This window comes from Homo sapiens, chromosome 10, assembly GCF_000001405.40.
Source record: "Homo sapiens chromosome 10, GRCh38.p14 Primary Assembly".
Taxonomy (NCBI): Eukaryota; Metazoa; Chordata; class Mammalia; order Primates; family Hominidae; genus Homo; species Homo sapiens.
The window spans coordinates 17,314,650-17,335,258 of NC_000010.11; the positions used below are offsets into that span (position 1 = coordinate 17,314,650).

At 36.2% G+C, this 20,609-nt stretch overlaps 1 protein-coding gene across 7 annotated transcripts in view; it reads right to left on the minus strand.

The window, feature by feature from the left end:
- ST8SIA6 (ST8 alpha-N-acetyl-neuraminide alpha-2,8-sialyltransferase 6) overlaps nucleotides 772-20,609 on the minus strand; it is a 139,175-nt gene continuing 119,337 nt past the window's right edge. For 6 of the 7 annotated variants that reach the window (XM_017016174.2, NM_001004470.3, NM_001345961.2 and 3 more), the window contains 4 exons: nucleotides 16,759-16,903; nucleotides 12,365-12,477; nucleotides 8,416-8,508; nucleotides 772-6,697 (listed from right to left, as the gene is read on the minus strand). In XM_017016174.2, the coding sequence (XP_016871663.1) occupies nucleotides 6,229-6,697; nucleotides 8,416-8,508; nucleotides 12,365-12,477; nucleotides 16,759-16,903 (820 nt within the window). In that variant the 3' untranslated portion in view covers nucleotides 772-6,228. The remainder of the gene's footprint in view (nucleotides 6,698-8,415; nucleotides 8,509-12,364; nucleotides 12,478-16,758; nucleotides 16,904-20,609) is intronic. The other variant, NR_144322.2, reaches the window with a different exon arrangement.

The window sequence follows — 20,609 nt, forward strand, 5'->3', positions numbered from 1 at the left end:
ACAAAGTCTCTTCAACAAATTCTACTGGAACAACTGATCAGATACATGCAAAAATATGATTTAAACTTTACCTTACACTGTGAACACATATGTAAAATAATTAACTCAAAATGGCTCATAGGCTTAAATATAACAAACTATAAGTCTTCTAAAAGAAAACATAGGAGAAAATCTGTTACCTTGGGTTTGGCAAAGATTTCTTAAATTTGACACCAAAAACACAAACTATAAAATTTTTAAAATTAATAAACTAGACTTTAGTAAAATTAAAAACTTCTGCTATTGAGAAACACTGTTAACAAAATGAAAAGGCTGAGAAAGTAGTTGCAAAATACATTCTAATAAAAGACTTGTATCTAGAATATATAAATATCCTTTATAAGTCACTTATAAGAAGACAACCCAATTAAAAACCGCCAAAATATTTCAGCAGACACTTCATCAAAGAAGATATAAGGAAGTCAAATAAACACATGAAAAAATAATAAGGGAAATGAAAATCAAAATCACAATGAGATACAGAGATAAAACTGTGTACCCAATAGACTGTCGAAAATTAAATACTACTCAAACCAAATTTTGTCAAAGATGTCAGGCAACAGCAACTGGCATAGGCTACTGATAGGAACATGAAATGTTATAACCACTTTGTAAAACAGCATGGTAGTTTTCTAAAAGTGTTAGACATACATGGACCATGTGACCTAGTCATTCCAATCCTAGATATTTGCCCCAAGGAAATAAAAATATGTTCACAAGAAGACTTGCACATTAATGTTCATGATACCTTTATTTGTAATAGCCAAAACCAGGAGATAGTAAAATGTTCATCAACAAATGAGCAGATAAGCCAACTGTGGTCCATCCATATAACATAATTCTACTCAGTAAATAAAGGCATAAACTACAGATACACAATCAACATGAATGAGTTTTAATATTATTATGTCGAGCAAAAGTGCAAGACAAGAAATGAGTACAGACAGTAAGATTCCATTTATATAAAATTCTAAAAAATGTAAACAGTCTATAGTGTAAAAATGTAAATGTCTATAGAAAAACAGATTAGGAATTTTCTGGGGACGAGGGTGGGATGGACAGGGAGGAAGAAGAGGGAGGGATTACAAAGTAGCACAAGAAAACATTTTGGGGTAATGAATATATACATTGTCTTAATTGGAGAGACGGTTTCATGGGTATATGCATGTACATAAATATGTGCCATTTATTACATGTCAATGACATGGGATAATACTGATTTTTCTTTTCATTTTATAATTGCATAATGGAAATAATATTGGCTTTAGAGTCAGACATATGAGTTGAATACTAGCTCTGCTCTTATATATAATGCAACCTTATATAAGTTACTTACAATTTTGAGTCAGCTTCTATATTTATTTATGTAGTAGTAAGAATATCATATGTGAGTATAAGAATATATATGTCAAAGGCTTGCTGTATTAAATATAATAACATGTATATTTTTCTTCTTTATCCCTAAACCCACTCCGATTACCCTCTTCTTAATGGGTACCCTTCTTGTATTTGACACGTAGCCTTGAATATGTTTGTATGTATGCATGCATACGCTTTAAAGTAATTAAATGGCATTGTGCTAAAGCTTTTGTTTTCCCTTTATGCTAAATTTAAAGGACATACCCTTATTTCTGTATATATGTCCAGTAAGTTGCTTCTAACTGCTGTATCATATTCCACACTATGGATCCAGTCAAGTTAGTTCACTGACTTCCGAAGAGACAGATATCTGTGAGTCCAATTTGTCTACTTACTACCGCAAACCATAATGGAATAAATACCTTAATACTTGTTTTTTTGTGTGGATCAGAACAGGTCCTCTTGGCTGTATATGCAAAAGTGCAATTACTGGACTATAGGACAGACATATGATGAATTTTACTAACTCAGTACTCCTAGGTTGCTTTCCAAAATGATTCAATCAGCTTATACTTCCACACTTGAAGTTAATGACCTTACTCATTTTTACCAATGCAATGGATGTAGTATCTCACTTTCATTTGCATTTCTCAGGTTACTGGTAAATTTGAGTATCACTTCCTATTCTTATTAGCTACTCAGCTTTCCCCTTTGTAAATCACATTCTTATCTTTTGTTCATTTTTATATTGAGTTTCCTGTCTTTTACTTGTTGATTTACAATTCCTTGGAATGTCTCTCTATTAATGTCATTAATTTTATGCATTACTAAAAGCTATTTCAGTCTGTCCCCAGCCTATTAACTTTAAGGTGTCATTCACTGACTAGAACTCTTTCATTTTAATACAGTCATAGCCATCCTTTCTTAACCCAACTATTTAAAAAGATATTTTTGGGTCATGTTGAAGAAGTACAGTTCCTCACCTGTATCTCAAACATAATTCTCCTACATTTTCTTCTATGAGCTTTAAAGTTTTCTTTTTAATCCATCGTTTTCATCCCTCTGGAGCCCAACTTTTTATATGGTGCAATGTAGGCATTTATTTTTCTCCATAGAGTGAGCCAATGTTTCAATATTATCTGCTAAAGAGTTTGCCCTGTCTCCATTACATAAGTAGCGCATCTTTATCATATATCACCCACATTTTTTTTATAAAAAGAAGAATGCTTCTGGAAGAGTGATGACCCAAAATAAGAAAGACCATGAGAAATATTCTTGCCTTTCCACTCTCAGGAGGGTACTGGTGACACTGTTCCTCGCTATGGGATCAGCCTTCTGAAGCCACATGTAAATAGGAAATCTTCAACACTCCTAGCAGCCTCAAGTGGATTTATCAGATCAAGTGCATCAGATATATCAGATGAATTCCTACAATGCCTTCAATTTTTAATGGCATAATAATGTGTTTCCATGTCATGTTAGATAAATAAAATGTCTTGAAGATCACAATATATTATATATCACATCTTAACTATACTTCTGCAGTAGCTGTTTAGGATGTTAGTGGACCTGTTTTCCACAAAATTTTCCACTTTTCCCAAAGCTTCCTAATTCATGGAGTGATTTACGGTACTTGACATTACATAATACTTAGCTGGTAAATTTTTTATAAGCAAGGAAAAATTTAGGCAAACACAGGTCTGATTTGCTGCTTAATTCTGTATTCTACAGAGAGTCCTCAAAAAAAGACTTTTTGACTGATTACCTGGCTGAGAGCCCACGCAGTTACTGGGTTAGGACTTACATGAAGAAGGAAATATCCTTTAGTGAAAGCCATGATCTATTTGTCATTGCCTTTTGTTCCAAGGGAAAAGCACCAGAGACTTCAAGGATGTTCGAGGATTATTACACTGCGCAAAAATTAACACTATGCAATTGATCATGAAGCCCTTTGCAGGGACCACAGAGTACTATGGACTATATACTTAAATGAATATTTCTGCCTTGCCTTTGGATTTGGCTGAAAATTATATTGGAATCTTGTTATTCTGTTTCATTGCTCAATGAGGCTGAACAACAAGTGGAAAATAGAATCCAGCAAGCTAGTATTTCTCTTAGAAACTGGTAGTATGCAGCGTTATGAGCTAGAATCCTAACTAAAGGGCTACTTTTTTTTTTTCTTTTTTGAGACAGGGTCTCACTCTGTCACACAGGCTAGAATGCAGTGGTAAGATCACAGCTCACTGCAGCCTCTACCTCCTGGGCTCCAGTGAACCTCCCTCCTTAGCCTCCCAAGTAGCTGGGACCACAGGTGCACGCCACTATGCTCAGCTAATTTTTTTGTTTTTTGTAGAGAAGGGTACTCACTATGTTGCCCAGGCTAGTCTCAAACTCCTGGCCTCAAGTGACCCACCCACCTTGGCCTCCCAAAGTGCTGGGATTACAGGTGTGAGCCATTGCGCCTGGCCTAAAGGGCTGCTCTTGTCTAGTACCAGAACTCAGACTTTCCATTCTCAATGCCCTTAGATGTACTTGAGTTTTAAGAGCAGAAGATCACATTAGATCTAACAATATTTAAGCAATGCTGATTACATACAGATTTCTTGGGAGTGTCACAGTCAGACTTGGTTGTGGCGAATCTACAAATCTACAAGATGGAGTTTATAGTTTTTCTTTTTGTTTTGCACTTGGTGAAAAATTTGCAATGATTCACCAATACAGAACAAAAAGAACTGTGACTTACGTTTTACAGTTTACATAGCTGACATGCTGTATTGTAAACATTCATGTTCTATCATATTTTAGAAAGTTCTAAGTAATGTTCTGTTTTGGAACAAAAGAACATTATTGGCACCTCACAGCAGGATATATGGAAGGTGGGATATATGCCCTACCAGGAAGAAAATGTTAGGATTCAATGAGGCACTGTGTCTTTTACTCCCTTTAGTTCTCTGCAACACACTGACTATGCTAGAAAGAGAGTAGGAGAGCTTCAAACAATGGCCAACAACCCCAATCTGCTGTGAAATCACAACTATAGACCCACTTGAGAAAAAGATAAAAAGAATGCACATGTTATATGTGTCACAATGAATGTGTCTAAATATGACAGATTATGGATATCGATAATACACCACATCAGCTATGTAAATCATAAAACATGCGTCACAGTTCTTGTCGCTCTGTAATGGTGAGTTACTGCAAGTTTTTCACCAAGATCAAAATAAAAAGAAAAACTATGAACACTATTTTGCAGATTTGTAGATTAATTACCACCAATTCTGACTATAACACACTTTATGAAATCTCGGGGTGTCTGTTTAGCCAAAGATTTTTGGCTAACGTGAATCTAGGTAGGATTGTTGTAAAATTTCACACGTGCTTTTAGGATGGCAACACAGATGTCGAACCAGAAACTTCAGATGTGTTAACTTGGAAATGTCTACAATTTTCTCCACAAAAGAAAACCCGCAAACATTCTTTTTCTCCTAAGCTTTTACTGGAACATGGGTATCACTATGCTGTTTGATCTCACACCATTTGGAATATTTCTGAAATCCATATCAGTGATACTAGAGATTCTGTTTTGATGTTCTAAAGAAAAATTTTTAAGATAGGATATTATATGGGAAAAAAAAGTAAGCTCTAAATGTCCTAACTATATGTAAGTTTTATTAAAATAGCATATAAAGTCCCCACATTGTATATTTAATTATTTCAGTATATTTTGTTACTTTTACTAATCAATTACATATTTCTAATATCATCAATGGTTTCAGGCATCCACAGGGGGTCTTCCCATATCTGCAGATTAGGGGAGACTATTGTACATTGAAATAGATTCCACTGAAATGGATTTAATTATCCCTGCTTCTGTTCCTTGTAGCACTTTATTCATAGCTTTTGTCATTGTAATACTTATCATACCCCATCATAATTAATGATATGCACATCTGTTTTCTCCTACAAGAGGCAATAATCCTTCTTGTCCTCTCACAGAGCCTGGTGCAGGGCCTGGCATGAAGTAGTTATTCAGTAATTTTAAAATAAAATTGAGTGAGTGACCCCACAGGCAAGACAACAGGTAAGAAAGACTGGGTATTGTAACTGTTCACGTCCTTGAAGTATATCGTATAAGTGAGAGAGAAAAAAGTGTAAGAATGAGGCAGGAAGTTAAAATAAAATTATTAAGTGATGAAGAAATGTAGACATAAGAGGAAAATAAATGGCTTAAATTCAACCAAAATATCATCACAGCTACTATTAAAAGTGAATTTAATCAGAAGCAGGCATACTGCCATACTCAGAGAAGAATTTCATTCCCGAATGATCAAGAACTTTTTGCTTAAGTATATAATTTTCTTGCATGCAGTCTTTGAGACAGAAAAATGGGAAGGATATTATTGATAGAGACCTGCCACAGAAAGAAATCCAATGGATACTGGTAATGCAGCTATTCTCTTTAGAAGAGATCTCCAAGAAAGCATGCTTTTATTATCGGTCTGGTGAAGGTGGAGATGGCTGGTATAAATAGTAAGAAAGAAATATTCTTTGAGTCCCTACCTCACACCAAAGGCCATGCCAATAATTTTCATAAATTATAAAAATTTGTATGAGTCAGATATGGTGTCCATGTTATAAGGAGAAAAAATGAAGATGAGAAGGATTGAATGACTTGCCATCATTGCAAAATGAGTGGGGAAGCTTTGGTCAAACCAAATTTTGGGGCTCATCTCAAAATACTCTTTAGCCACCTCCTTTGGTGTTTGGAGACATTGTTAATCACCTACTGCATTATATTAAAATTATTCCCATTTTAAGATACTTTGTTTAGGCGACTTCACATTTGCTAAATTGCAGTTTGAGGATTCCTTTCATGTGAAGTTGGAGGATCTGGCTGTATTCTTTGGGCATCTGATGGAAACCATGTTTAGGTAGCTTGTTGTCATAATAGTGATGGCTGACAGGTATGTCTTCTACAGTTTTAGAGAAGGGCCAGAATCCATACAGCTTCACATTTTTACACAGTTCCACTGCAACACTTGTGATCATCAAGCCGGTGGACAAGCGGTATGCAGTCACACCTTTAGTTCTCCAGAAAAGGGCCAGATCTTTCAGGTACTTGGGATGGAAAAATAGAACCTTTTGTCTTGCTTTAGACTCTTCGAGCGTGTAGTATACTTTGAAAGAGGTACCCGTGTTGGCCCTGAAGGAAAATGCTGGCAGAAGAAAAAATGCATCTCCATAGGTTGCAATGTCCTCCAGAAATAGGGCTTTTTTTTCCTTTAAGTTCCCATATCTGCCAAATTAAAAAAAAATTATAGTAATCCCAAGAATAATAATCAAAGTAGCAGTTTTGATAACATAAAGCTGAATTTACCATTGGTCAAAACACTGAACGATTTGTATACTGTATATAAAACAGATAAAGTGTGGACTCAGAGAAAACTCATTCAAGTAAGCATAATGTCAATATCAACAGCTAGATCTTCATCTCTCTTTCTTGGAATCCTTTCAATTTCTACTTTCTTACTGGGCTATAGCCTTAATGAACAGACATTTCTTGTATTATTTTCTATTCTTATTCGTTAATTTTTCCTAAAGTTGTTTTTTGTTATTGAAACACCTTCCAAATGTATAATGATAAAATATTTTTTCAAGCATAGTATGCATATCAATACATTTTAAAAAATTCATTGAGCTGCGCACTTATGATTTGTACATCTTTTGCACATATTTCATTATAAGTTTCCTTTAGAAAACTGAAAATAGACTGGGCACAGAGGCTCATGCTTGTCAGCACTTTGGGAGGCTGAGGCGAGAAGATCACTTGAGGCCAGGAGTTCGAGAACAGCCTGGGTAACACAGTGAGACCCCGCCCCACATCTCTATAAAAAATAAAAATATTAGCTGGGAACGGTGGTGCATGCCTGTAGTCCCAGCTACTTGTGAGGCTGAGGTGAGAGGATCCCTTGAGCCCAGGAGTTTGAGGCTGCAGTGACCTGTGATTGCACTGCTGCACTCTAACCTGGGTGACAAAGAGAGACAGAGAGAGAGAGAGAGAGAGAGAGAGAGAGGAAGGAAGGAAGGAAGGGAGAAAGAGGGAAGAAAGAGAGAAAGACGGAAGAAAGAAGGAGAGAAAGAGAGACAGAAAGGAAAGAAAGAGAAAGAAAAGAAAGAAAGAAAAAGAAAGAGAAAAAGAAAGGAAAAAGAGAGAAAGAAAAGAAGGAGGGAGGAAGGAAGGAAAGAGGGAAAGAAGATTTAAAATATCTAAATGCAAATATAGATATACGTATAGGTTATTTTTAAAAATTTCCTCCATGCATTGTAGTATCTATGTGTATGATTTAAATAACTTAGTATCCTGGTAAGTATAATCGTGAGTGTTTAGAAAATATACTTTGAAAGGCAAGTTCAATATTTATTTTATTTTCTTTCAAGGGATGCTATAACTATTAGCACGAACATATTCTATTACTAATGCTTATCAGTCACTTTTGACGAAAACAATGGAGTAAAAACTTTGTATAAGATTACTTATTAGCCAACAATTGTATGGTAGTTATGTTGCAGAAATGAAAGATGGTAATTATTGTTTAGTAATAAACTCTAACTTGATAACTGTATTTTGCCAGGTTGTCTTAGCCCTTACTCTCTGAAGTTTCTAAATAGAGTAAGTTTTATCAAGAAAGTGCTACCAAGAAAAAAGAGTAATGCTAACACTCTAAAAGAAAATGGAAAAAAGTGGCTTCATTATTGTTAAAAGAGATAAAGAAATAAATATGTTCTCATTTGATTAGCTTATGACATTGGAAGTACAACTGAATCATAACTCTTAGGAAAAACGACCTTGATAGAATGCCACAATTTGCAAATGAATTCTTATATATTTTTCCAAAAACTCATTCCACCTGTACTGCAAGTCAGTCTCAGCAACAAGATTAGTGCTTAAGCTGAGAAACATGTTGAACAATGAAAAAGTGTTCCTGATCAGTTATGTAACTTGCAGCTACTTACTTCAGAGTTATGATGCTTGGATTTATAGTCACAAGATTTGTTTTACTGCCAACATCTTTACTAACATCTCCTGTGGTTGGGGGTAGGTTACACCTGAAATTTGAAAAGAAAATCATTTTCAAAATAGAACTTGTAGAAAAAAGATTGTATACACACATATGCGCGCACACACACACACACACACACCTATCTATAATAATTGTTCTTATGTTGGAGAAATCATTGCTATTGAGACCCTCAGAATCCATTTGGTTTCTATTTTAAATTATTTACTTTAATAATTACTCAGTTCTTAGTTGACATTTCAATGTTGTATAAAATATACACCTTTTTTTTTTTTTTTTTTTTTTAAGGCAGAGTCTCGCTCTGTTGCCTAGGCTGGAGTGTAGTGGTGCTCTGGGCTCACTGCAACCTCCGCCTCTCGGATTCAAGCAATTCTTCTGCCTCAGCCCCCTGAGTAGCTGGGACTAAAGGCATGCACCAAGCGAATTTGTATTTTTAGTAGTGATAGGGTATCACCATGTTGGCCAGGCTTGTCTTGAACCCATGACCTCAAGTGATCCACCTGCCTTGGCCTCCCAAAGTGCTGGGATTACAGGTGTGAGCCACTGTGCCCGGCGAAAATTACAAATTTGATAAATGCTTTCAATATGGATAATAACTTTTATAAGTATCAAAGCCAGAAATGACAATTACACCTTGTCTAAGTTTAGAAGAGTTCCCAATCCTTTTATTAAAATTGTTATTTATATTATTTCTATTGATTATGTTCCCATAGTGGTATGATCACCAATTGGCATATTCTTAAAAACTTGATGTACTGTGACTAAAGTTATACAGTCTGCCAGAAGCAAAGACTAAATTAAACAAATCAAAACCTCCCAATTCCCATGTGGATAGTTTTGCCACCAAATTATGGTTTTAATAAATAAAATCCTAATGTTCTTATAGTGATGTTTTCAAACTGATGTTCTCATCTTCCTTTGAGTACTAATTTGCTTTTAAATTGGAAAACAAATTAAGAATTCTAATTTTGAGTAATTATATTCTTGTCACAAAAAAGGAAAAATTGGCTATGACTTTCTAAATATCATTTACTGAATTTCAAGTAGTAAGGCTAAACATAAGAAGGGAGCATCTTTGAGTGCTTCCTAAGGAAGGTTGTTCAAAGTTGATGTGGTCTATAACATGACAGAAGATGAAATAAGCTGTACCATGTCCTATAAAACACATGAATGAATGAAACATGAACTTCCCTCATTGATATAAAAGCTATGTCAGAAAATAAAATAAATACGGCACCTTGGTAAAATAAATATGAATCAAATATCAATAATACATATTCAATGATAAAGATTAATCATAGGTACTAGGCCATAAAGGTGATCTCAGTAGTGGGCCTCCCACAACATATGTCCTTTCCAGAACAGTCTCATATTCTTCTGAATAATCAAAAGTGATTTCTAGTAGAATATCATAGGAGACTCCATAGGGAAGGGTATTTTATAGAGGAAATACAATAAGTTTTGGCTTAAAACTTAAAAGAAAAATATCTCAGAATATATTTAATTCATGAGTCTAAAATGCCTGTGTTTCTAGATTCTACTTTTGCTGATGCCAGGTATTTTCCTGAATATAGAGTATACACACACACACACACACACACACACACACAAACAGTAGTATAGGTCATGGTATGTACCATACCATGCATGCATGGTATGTATGCATGTATTATATATGTACATGCATACATATTATAGATTATATATTATATGTAATATTAGTATATTATATAATATGCATATATGTAATATATGTATATTATATATAACATGTATATATAATATGTAATATATAATATGCATACATATTATACATATATAACACATAATGTGTATATAATATGTAATATATAATATGTATACATATTATAAATATATAACACATAATACTGTTATATAATTGTATTTATTATATGTATATATGTATACATATTATACATATATAATTACATATAATACTGTTATATAATTTTATACAGAATATATGTATATATGCTATTATAGATTTATAAAATGTATGCATATTGTTATATAATATGTACATATGTAATGTATACATATTATACGTATATAATTACATATAATACTGTATTATATAGTATATTATATAGTATACAATATACTATATTATATACTATACAATGTACAATATATTACATACTATCTATAACACAGTATTATATATTTATCATACATATGTATAATATGTATATATAATATGTAATATATAAATACTACTGGATTATATGTATTACAGTATACGACAGTATATATGTGATTATATATATTACTACTACTGTAATATATATGTGATTATATATTTTACTACTACTGTAATATATATGTGATTATATATTACTACTACTGTAATACATATATGTGTATATATAAACTGGTATAGTCATATATAGCAGTAGTATATATAGTCATTGCCTATTTTTGTTCCTCACACACTTTATTCATAGCTCCAAATCTTTTGAAATGAAAAATAAAAGTTTGTTTTCTGAACTGTCAACCTGAAGCACCAAAATAAGTACAGGCTTAAAAAATTAAGTATATTTTAATGACACCAAACACGTCTAGCCCTCATTTTGCCTTTCAGTTCAAATGGCTAGTTTTAAAGGAAATTCTATATTCGGGAAAATACCTCTCATCAGCAAGTGTGGAATCTAGAAACATAGACAGTTATTTTAGAATTATAAGTGAAATATCTGCTGAGATATTTTTCTTCTGGGTTTTAAATCAAAACTTATTGTATTGCCTATACTTGCTATAAAGTATAATGAATGTTTAGGCCTGATCCTCATTACAGATGTTTTGGGAATTTTAAGCCTATAAAAAGTCTACTGCAAGAAGAATTATCTTCCTTATGGCTTTTTCACACTGGATACTTGAACAAAATGTGTAAACCATTCAGATATTGGCCATTTTAACAGTAATCATGAAGAACACATTCAATAATTGTTGCACTGTCGGGTCTATTGTGGCTTCATCATTACCTGCAGCACAAAATTTAAAAATGAGATTGAAATTGGGAGGGAGCTGTTTACTAGAAACCCTGTTTCTTTTTCAATTGCTTAAAAGGGCAGCATTAAATCAAGAGGGATCAAAGCATCTCCTCTGATGTATGAAATCAGTGCTCCTAAAACAGGAAGAACCAGACTTCCACTTACTCTTTGAAAAGGTGCATTTCAATTGAAACCCATCCTCAGAAGGATAAATTACCTTTCCATTACACTGAGACAGTGGAGATGCTTTGGTATGGCTTATTAGTACAAGGCACACAGAAAAACCATTTTGTTTCTATTTTTGCATGCTAGCTGATATTCAGATAGAAAACATTTTAAAAGACCAGAACTTAGAAGCTGTACAAATTTGTTTTTTAAATTGCAAGCCAGAAAACGAAATAATGATACAGTTTGCAGGGCTGAAAAATGTCTTGATCAGCATTTTCCCAAGTATTGTCTAAGAACAAAACATCCTTGAAATGCGCTGTTAAACAAAAACAAAAACAAACAAACAAATAAAAAAAGATCTTCAAGGTCAGGTGAGCCTGAGACATGCTGCCCTCTGGAGTCCTCCCAAGGTAGCCATTAACGTACTGAACGCTCTGAAAGGTCCTGCACTACCAAACCCTCTTTCACCACAATTTCACCCAGAGTTTCCTAAACATATATAAACATAGCACATTTTGTTTCTTCTGGTATTGACATTCTGAGGAACTCATGAGCCACATAACACTTCAGGAAACCTTCCCGGGTAATTTGTAGACTTTTGTAACAGAGCTCAAAGGTGAAAATATACAATGGATATCTTTACACTATCCCCCTCTGAAATACCCAACTGATCTATTGTTTCAAAGAAACCAATTTGTCAGGTCTTACCTAAAAACGAAGTCGGATTTATCTATTTCAGTTCCACAGAGAGACTTATTCAGAATTCCCCCATTTCCGACCACTGCACACTGATTATAAGGGTAGTCCACAAAAGGCTGGGACTAGCAGGAGAAAGTGGAAAACTACCATGAAATACCGTTAATTTTAGAACCATAGACAACAGCTTAATTCTAGTAACTTAACTCTTTATACATGCTAAGGAGAAGAATACGAACAAGAAAAAGCAGCAGCCCAGTTTGCTAATCAACTTACTATGACTTAGCATAAAGAACCAGCTGGGGCTGGGCGCAGTGGCTCACACCTGTAATCCCAGCACTTTGGGAGGCCAAGGAGGGTGGATCACAAGGTCAGGAGTTCAACACCAGCCTGGCCAAGATGGTGAAACCCCGTCTCTGCGAAAAATACAAAAAAATTAGCTGGGCGTGGTGGTGGGTGCCTGTAATCCGAGCTACTCGAGAGGCTGAGGCGGAGAATTGCTTGAATCCAGGAAGTGGAAGTTGCAGTGAGCCAAGATGGCACCACTGCACTCCAGCCTGGGCAACAGAATGAGACTCCGTCTCCAAAACAAAACAAAACAACAACAACAACAAAAAACCAGCCAGGTGCAGTGGCTCACATCTGTAATCCCAGCACTTTGGGAGGCTGCCAAAATGAGAGAGTCACTTGAGGCCAAGAGTTTAAGATGGGCCTGGGCAACAAAGCAAGACTCTGTCTCTACAAAAAGTAGAAAAATTGGCTGAGTTTGGTGAAGAGCGCCAGTAGTCTTTGCTGCTTGGGAGGCTGAGGTAGGGGAATCACTTGAACCTAGTAGTTCCAGGCTGCAGTGAGCCATGATTGCACCACTGCCCTCCAGCCTGGGCGACAGAGCAAGACTCTGTTTCTTAAATTTTAAAAAATGTGTAAGTAAAATAAAATAAAATAAATCATTATGTGAACCTAAGTTTCATTTCTCTTGAGAGAAATAGACATCATAGGATACACGGCATAATGTAATAATACAAAATACAGTATCATGTATTTTTCATCACATAATTAAGGAAAAAAATTAGAATGGCAAAACCCCATATTCTGCCTTTCTGATAAACAAGGACATTTTCAGCAAGAAAGAGAAAATAAAGAAATTAGGAAGCAGCATTAAATCTATTCTAAGGCATAAAATTAATAGGTGATTTAGCAAAAATTTCCTGTGCTTCTTAAATAGTTAGACCTTCAGGCTCAGTAAGGCATTAGATTTATGCCTGCCGTCTCTGCGAATGACCAGCCAGCGTGCTTCAGGGAGGCCTACCAACTGGACTGACATATTTCAAATTAATTTCCAAGACCTGAATCTTTCTTATTCCTTTTAGGACCTGGCCTGCTTACCCCAGAAGGTTTCCTATTTTCCCCAAGTTCTCTGCAGACTGAAATCTAACTTTTCAATTCAATGGTGCGCTTTCCTTCCCTCTCCTGGTCACTTTCCATGAAGTAATAATGTGACCTTGAGCCCACGGCCAGGGTGCCGGCTCGTGCTTCCCAGTGATGAGGTCCTGATCTACCGATTTTGTCTGTAGGATTAAGGTGTAAGTCCTCAAGAGCAGAGAGGCTGTTTATTATTTTTAATTTCCTTTAATTTCCCCTCATTTTTCCCTCCTGATCTTGTGTAGTGCAATGTGCACAGCTTTCAATACCCATCTCATGGGCTTTCAACAAGCTCTCCCACCTTCTCACTAGGTGGCTCTGTGAATAAATCTTATTTCTTTTGCAAAACCGGTATCACGGGAATTAATTTACTGCACGTGCGCAGAACGAACCTGACCCTGGCCTGTAACCATTGAAGGGGCCACTGGTAAATATTCAGGAATTTTGTGAGCTGGTTTTTTAAAGCATTGGTAACTAAAAATTGTCCAGGGTGGGGGTATTGACACCACTGAATTTGGCAAAGGTTGCAAAATCAAGGCACATCGCCCTTGTCAAAGTCAGTTTACCAGCCCAACTGACAACAGCCCAGGGCCGATGTGGTTCTGAGCAGTCCGGAGTGACAGAAGATGCCCCAGAATCATTGTGACTGCTGTCTGCCCCTAATGCTGGCTCTGGGAGCTGCCCAACTAGCAAAGAAACTCGGTTTCAGTACAACTCTCTTTGTAGGTTTGCCTTTGAAATGTAAAAGTCATATTGCACTTTTTATGCAAGAGGCACTATTTCAAGTACATACTTTATTAGCACATTTAACCTACACAGCAACCTTTTGAGTATTTTACAGATGCGAAAATGGAGGCATGAGTCCAAGTAACAGCTAGAAAGTGGCAGAACTGGGATAGGAACCCAGGCGGTTTGCTCCAGAGTACCTGCTCTAAACCACTACACATTATCGTTTCTTACAATTCCATGGATTAAAATGATAACTTAATTATGTATAATTATGTATCTTATTCCTGGTTATATCTGCAATGGCTAGCAGAGTGACTGGCTCTTAAATGAATGGTTCCTAGATACCTCAGGCTATTTCATGTCACTGAACTTCTAGCTCAAGATGTCTTCAGCCAGTATCTACTAAATGGTGCCACCATAAATTCTGAAGTTTATAGATAGGGTAGGATGCAAAAATGCAAATAGGCTCATTATGGTATAAAATAGAAAAGATTACTGAAGGAAACATATCTCAAATTATGCACTCACAATAAGGAATGTTTTTCTCTGGTTTCTTGGTCAACTGGGAGGAAAACATCTATATGCTTTAGTATCTCATGTTCAGTATGAATTTAAATAAATTACAAATCTCAACGTTTCCTTAAATAAACCTCCTGAGAAAATGCAAATGTGCACGCTCCACTGCCTGCTCATTGCCCACTCTGGTTGAAAATCAACTTTTATTTTTTTCTCTGCAAGTAACTTAGCCAAGTTTGTGGAGGAAGTGGCTCCATATCATTTCATTAAAACGTTTAATGCCGTCTTCTTGTGTGCCCAGCAGTTCGTCCTGGAGAGTTTCATGCAGAAGGGCAGAGTAAAGCAACGTGGGAAAGAGGACATTTCCACCACGAGCCCCGTCTATGAAAGGAGAAGGCTGGAGCAACACAAAAATAGGGACCTGGCTCTGCAATTGCTGCTGTATTGACTGCAGAATTTCCTCTCCCCAGTTTAAAAAAGAAAATCAGTATAAATTTGGAAAGCAGATGCAGTTCCCAGTTACATACATAATTATCAGGCCTATATTAAGTTAATCCTTTCAAAGTGCCAAATGAGGGTAAAGCAGTTGCTGCTCCTCTGTTCTGGTCAGTTGAAAACATGGCAGACACTGGCAAAACCTGCATGGATGAATGAGTGAAAGGGCTCACTGTCAAACTTTCCAAGGCTTTCCCTGATAGGAAAGATAAATACTCTTTCCTTATCATCTTTTCAATCACTGGTCATTTCAGGGCGTCATGAGAAAGCTTTATATTTTTGTCCCTTTTTCTTCCAGAAAATTTACAGTATTTTTTCTCTATCATTTTCTATTTATTTCTCATTCATTCTCAGCTAGTTATTCTTCCTCTAAATCCTAATATAAAAAAAATTGGAACAATTTACATGAGCAACAAAAATTAGCTGAAAGAGGTCAAAGCTCCAATAAAAGAAAACTGTAAGAATCTCATATCCTACAGTTAGTATACTGCACATATAGAGGGATCCTATTTTGACCATCTTGATATGGCCTAATTGTTTTTTAATGGAATCATAGAAAGACGCTGGAGAGTGTATGTTTATAAGCAATGAGATGTTTATGTTCCTCAGAACCAAAACTTCCCCAAGTGTGGGTTTGCATTAAGGGTCGAGTTTCTCCTAACTGTGTGAAGTGGTTTTATATCATATCATTACTCATTTTTCTAATTTTACAAATTGGTAGTGAGTGCATATATGTACTGGGAAATGTTCTAGGGGTTTGGGATATATCTGTGAACACAGCAGACAACAATCTCTATCTTATGGTGGGTACGTTTATTGACTATAAATTCTTACATATTTACTTCCCAAAGATGAGCCACATAAACGCACCGTTCCTTGGGAAGGAATTGATTTAGTCACCATAACTGACAATTGGAAGAATCTTATTTGAGATGAAAAATGGCCGTCTTCACAAGCCTCAGTAATTACTAAGCAGGAAGCCCGAGTGTCTCATCTCATTCGAAGAAGAGTCTGGAAGACAGGACTGGAAGAGCTTATCATTTAAGATATAAATAATCCTTCCCTACAGAGCCACACTGCATTCAAAATGGCCCTTTTAAAAAATGGCTCACTGTCCAAATTTTATACAACATAACAATATGGTATTTTAATTGAGTCCATCATAATTGTAAGTTACAGCTTAAAGTAAAAGAAAATTCACCTGGAATGGTAACACAAATAACCCACCAGAAACCTTTACTCACCACTGGAAACATATGAAAAATGTTCTTCTTAATTGGGATTTCTTTTTTGCTTTCCACCTCGTAACTCATATTAGTCCCAACTGGAGTGTTATTCTGAGAAACAACAAAGTTTTGAACAGCATCACAGCAGGAAGCAAGTTTGGCTCTGCAAAGGAAAAGGATGAAAAGGAAGCCAAAGTATAAGATTAAGAAACCGAAAATGCAGACCACGATGGACAATGCCGAAGAGGATTTTGCCAAACTGACTTTCAAAAAGAAGATAATTATTCACAAAGATGACTTTGATTTTTGTCCTCCAGGTTTCATATCCCTTGAGGACTGGGACTGACTCTCTTTTTTTTCATTCTTCTTTTGTCTTTTGTTTAATCTTATTTTGATTTCTTTTTTAATTTTACTTTAAATTCTGGGATACATATGCAGACATGCAGGTTTGTTACATAGGTACATGTGTGCCATGGTCGTTTCCTGCACCTATTAACCCGTCATCTAGGTTTTAAGCCCCACATGCATTAGGTATTTGTCCCAATGCTCTCCCTCCCCTTGCCTCCAACAGGCACCAGTGTGAGATGTTCCCCTCTCTGTGTCTATGTGTTCTCATTGTTCAACTCCCACTTATAAGTAAGAACATGTGGTGTGTTTGGTTTTCTGTTCCTGTGTCAGTTTGATGAAGATGATGTCTTCCAGCTTCATCCATGTCCCTGCAAAGGACATGATCTCATTCCTTTTTATGGCTGCGTAGCATTCCATGGTGTATATTTACCATATTTTCTTTATCCAATCTATCATTGATGGGCATTTGGGTTGGTTCCATGTCTTTGCTATTGTAAACAGTGCTGCAATAAACATACGTGTACATGTGCCTTTATAGTAAAATGATTTATATTTTTTTGCCTATATACCCAGTAATGGGATTGCTGGGTCAAATGGTATTTCTGGTTCTAGATCCTTGAGGAATAATCATACTGTCTTCCACAATGGTTGAACTAATTTACACTCCCACCAACAGTGTAAAAGCATTCCTATTTCTCCACAGCCTCACCAGCATCTATTTCTTGACTTTGTTTTTTTATTTTTTGAGACAGAGTCTCACTCAATCTCCCACACTGGAGTACAGTAGCATGATCTTGGGTCACTGCAACCTCTGCCTCCTGGGTTCAGGTGATTCTCCTGCCTCAGCCTCCTGAGTAGCTGGGATTACAAGTGTGCACCACCTATGCCTGGTTAATTTTTTTAGTAGAGACAGGGTTTCACCATGTTGGCCAGGCTGGTCTCGAACTCCTGACCTCAAGTGATCTGCCTGCCTCAGCCTCCCAATGTGCTATTTCTTGACTTTTTAATAATTGCCATTCTGATGGGCCTGAGATGGTATTTCACTGTGGTTTTGAATTGCATTTCTCTAATGATCAGTGATGATGAGCTTTTTTTCATGTTTGTTGGCTGCATAAAATGTCTTCTTTTGAGAAGTGTCTGTTCATATCCTTTGTCCACTTTTTGGTGGGGTTCTTTTTCTCTTGTAAATTTGCTTCAGTTCCTTGTAATCCTGGATATCAGACCTTTGTCAGATGGGTAGATTGCAAAAATCCCATTCTGTAGGTTGCCTGTTCACTCCGATGCTAGCTTCTTTTGCTGTGCAGAAGCTCTTTAGTTTAAAATCAATGTGCAAAAATTACAAGCATTTCTATACATCAACAACAGACAAGCAGAGAGCCAAATCATGACTGAACTCCCATTCACAATTGCCACAAAGAATAAAATACCTAGGAATATAGCTTACAAGGAATGTGAAGGACCTCTTCAAGGAGAACTACAAATCATTGCTCAAGGAAATAAGAGAGGACACAAACAAATGGAAAAACATTCTATCCTCATGGATAGAAAGAATCAATATTGTGAAAACAGCCATACTGCCCAAAATAATTTATAGAGTCAATGCTATTCCCATCAAAATACCATTGACATTCTTCACAGAATTAGAAAAAACTACTTTAAATTTCATATGGAACCAGAAAAGAGCCCATATAGCCAAGACAGTCCTAAGCAAAGAGAACAAAGCTGGAGGCATCATCCTGCCTGACTTCACACTATACTACAAGGCTACAGTAACCAAAACAGCGTGGTACTGGTACCAAAACAGAGAGATAGACCAATGGAACAGAACAGAGGCCTCAGAAATAACACCACACATCTACAACCATCTGATCTTTGACAAACCTGACAAAAACAAGCAAAGGGGAAAGGATTCCCTACTTAATAAATGGTGCTGGGATATATATATATATATATATATATATATATATATATATATATATATTTTTTTTTTTTTTTTTTTTTTTTGCTACAGTCTTGCTCTGTCCCCCAGGTTGGAGTGCAGCGGCACAATTTCAGCTCACTGCAAATTCCACTTCCCGGGTTCAAGCAATTCTCCTGCCTCAGCCTCCTGAGTAGATGGGACTAAAGGCACCTGCTACCATGTCCGGCTAATTTTTGTATTTTTAGTAAGGACAGGGTCCAACCATGTTGGCCAGGCTGATCTTGAACTCCTGGCCTCAAGTGATCTGCACCCTCAGCCTCCCAAAGTGCTGGGATTACAGGCGTGAGCCACTGCACCTGGTTTTTTTTTTTAAATCTCACTAGACTTCTAACTGGCCCTGGATTGTAGCATGGTGACTTGGCAAGATAAATGGCAAAGCAGTTAAACACACTTAGGTAGGGACCTACTCACCAATAGAAAATGCTCATGAATATAACATTTTTAAAAATACGAACTTTCTTCTGATGATACTGTTATAACACTAAAGACAAAAAATGAGAGGATTCATTGTAATGATTTTATAATAATTATAAAATACAGGCTGGGCGCGGTGGCTCACGCCTGTAATCCCAGCACTTTGGGAGGCCGAGGCGGGCGGATCACGAGGTCAGGAGATCGAGACCATCCTGGCTAACACGGTGAAACCCCATTTCTACTAAAAATACAAAAAGTTAGCCGGGCACGGTGGCAGGCACCTGTAGTCCCAGCTAGTTGGGAGGCTGAAGCAGGACAATGGTGTGAACCCAGAAAGAGGAGCTTGCAGTGAGCCGCAGTAGCGCCACTGCACTCCAGCCTGGGCGACAGAGCGAGACTCCGTTTCAAAAAAAAAAAAAATTATTATTATTATTATAATAATAAAATACAGAAACTAAGTTAAGAACAGTATCACAGTCACTAAAACAATACATAATCATTTATTATCAGACAAGTCCAATGAAAAAAAGAAATATACAGTGAATTTTTAAGTGGGGTGAATTTAAAGTTGCCATTCCTTGTAGAAAGCCCAGCAAAGCATAAATTAATACCAAGCTACGTTTCAAAATGATTACCATGGAGTGAAACATTATTATTGGAATGTAGACCTAGGAAGTGCTTTCAAGGATCATCTGAGTTAACCCCCAACCTCTGGCAAGTGCATGTAGAACCACTTAGAATTCATATTTCATTTCTTTAATTCTCCAATGATGTAGATGCCTTAAAGTCTCTTGATAATTGTTCCAGGGTTTAATCAACCTTAAAGTCAAAGAGATTTCTGCATTTGCACAACGAAACTATGTTTTAATGTAAATCTATTTTCCTTGTTAGGTTTTCATAGAATCTCCTTGTGAAAATACTTCACGTACTTGAAAATGGAAATCAAGCAAAGCTTTAGCCTTTTTCAGTCTTGCAGAGTTTACAGAATTTTCTCTTCTCTCAGGTTTTCCTCATAGGACCAGTTTTTCATGGTTTTAGTCATCTTGTTTCTCTTTAAACCTCAACTTATTTCTCCGTATTACTTAAAAATCTGTATCCAAGCCAGATCCAGTCATAAGACAAGAGT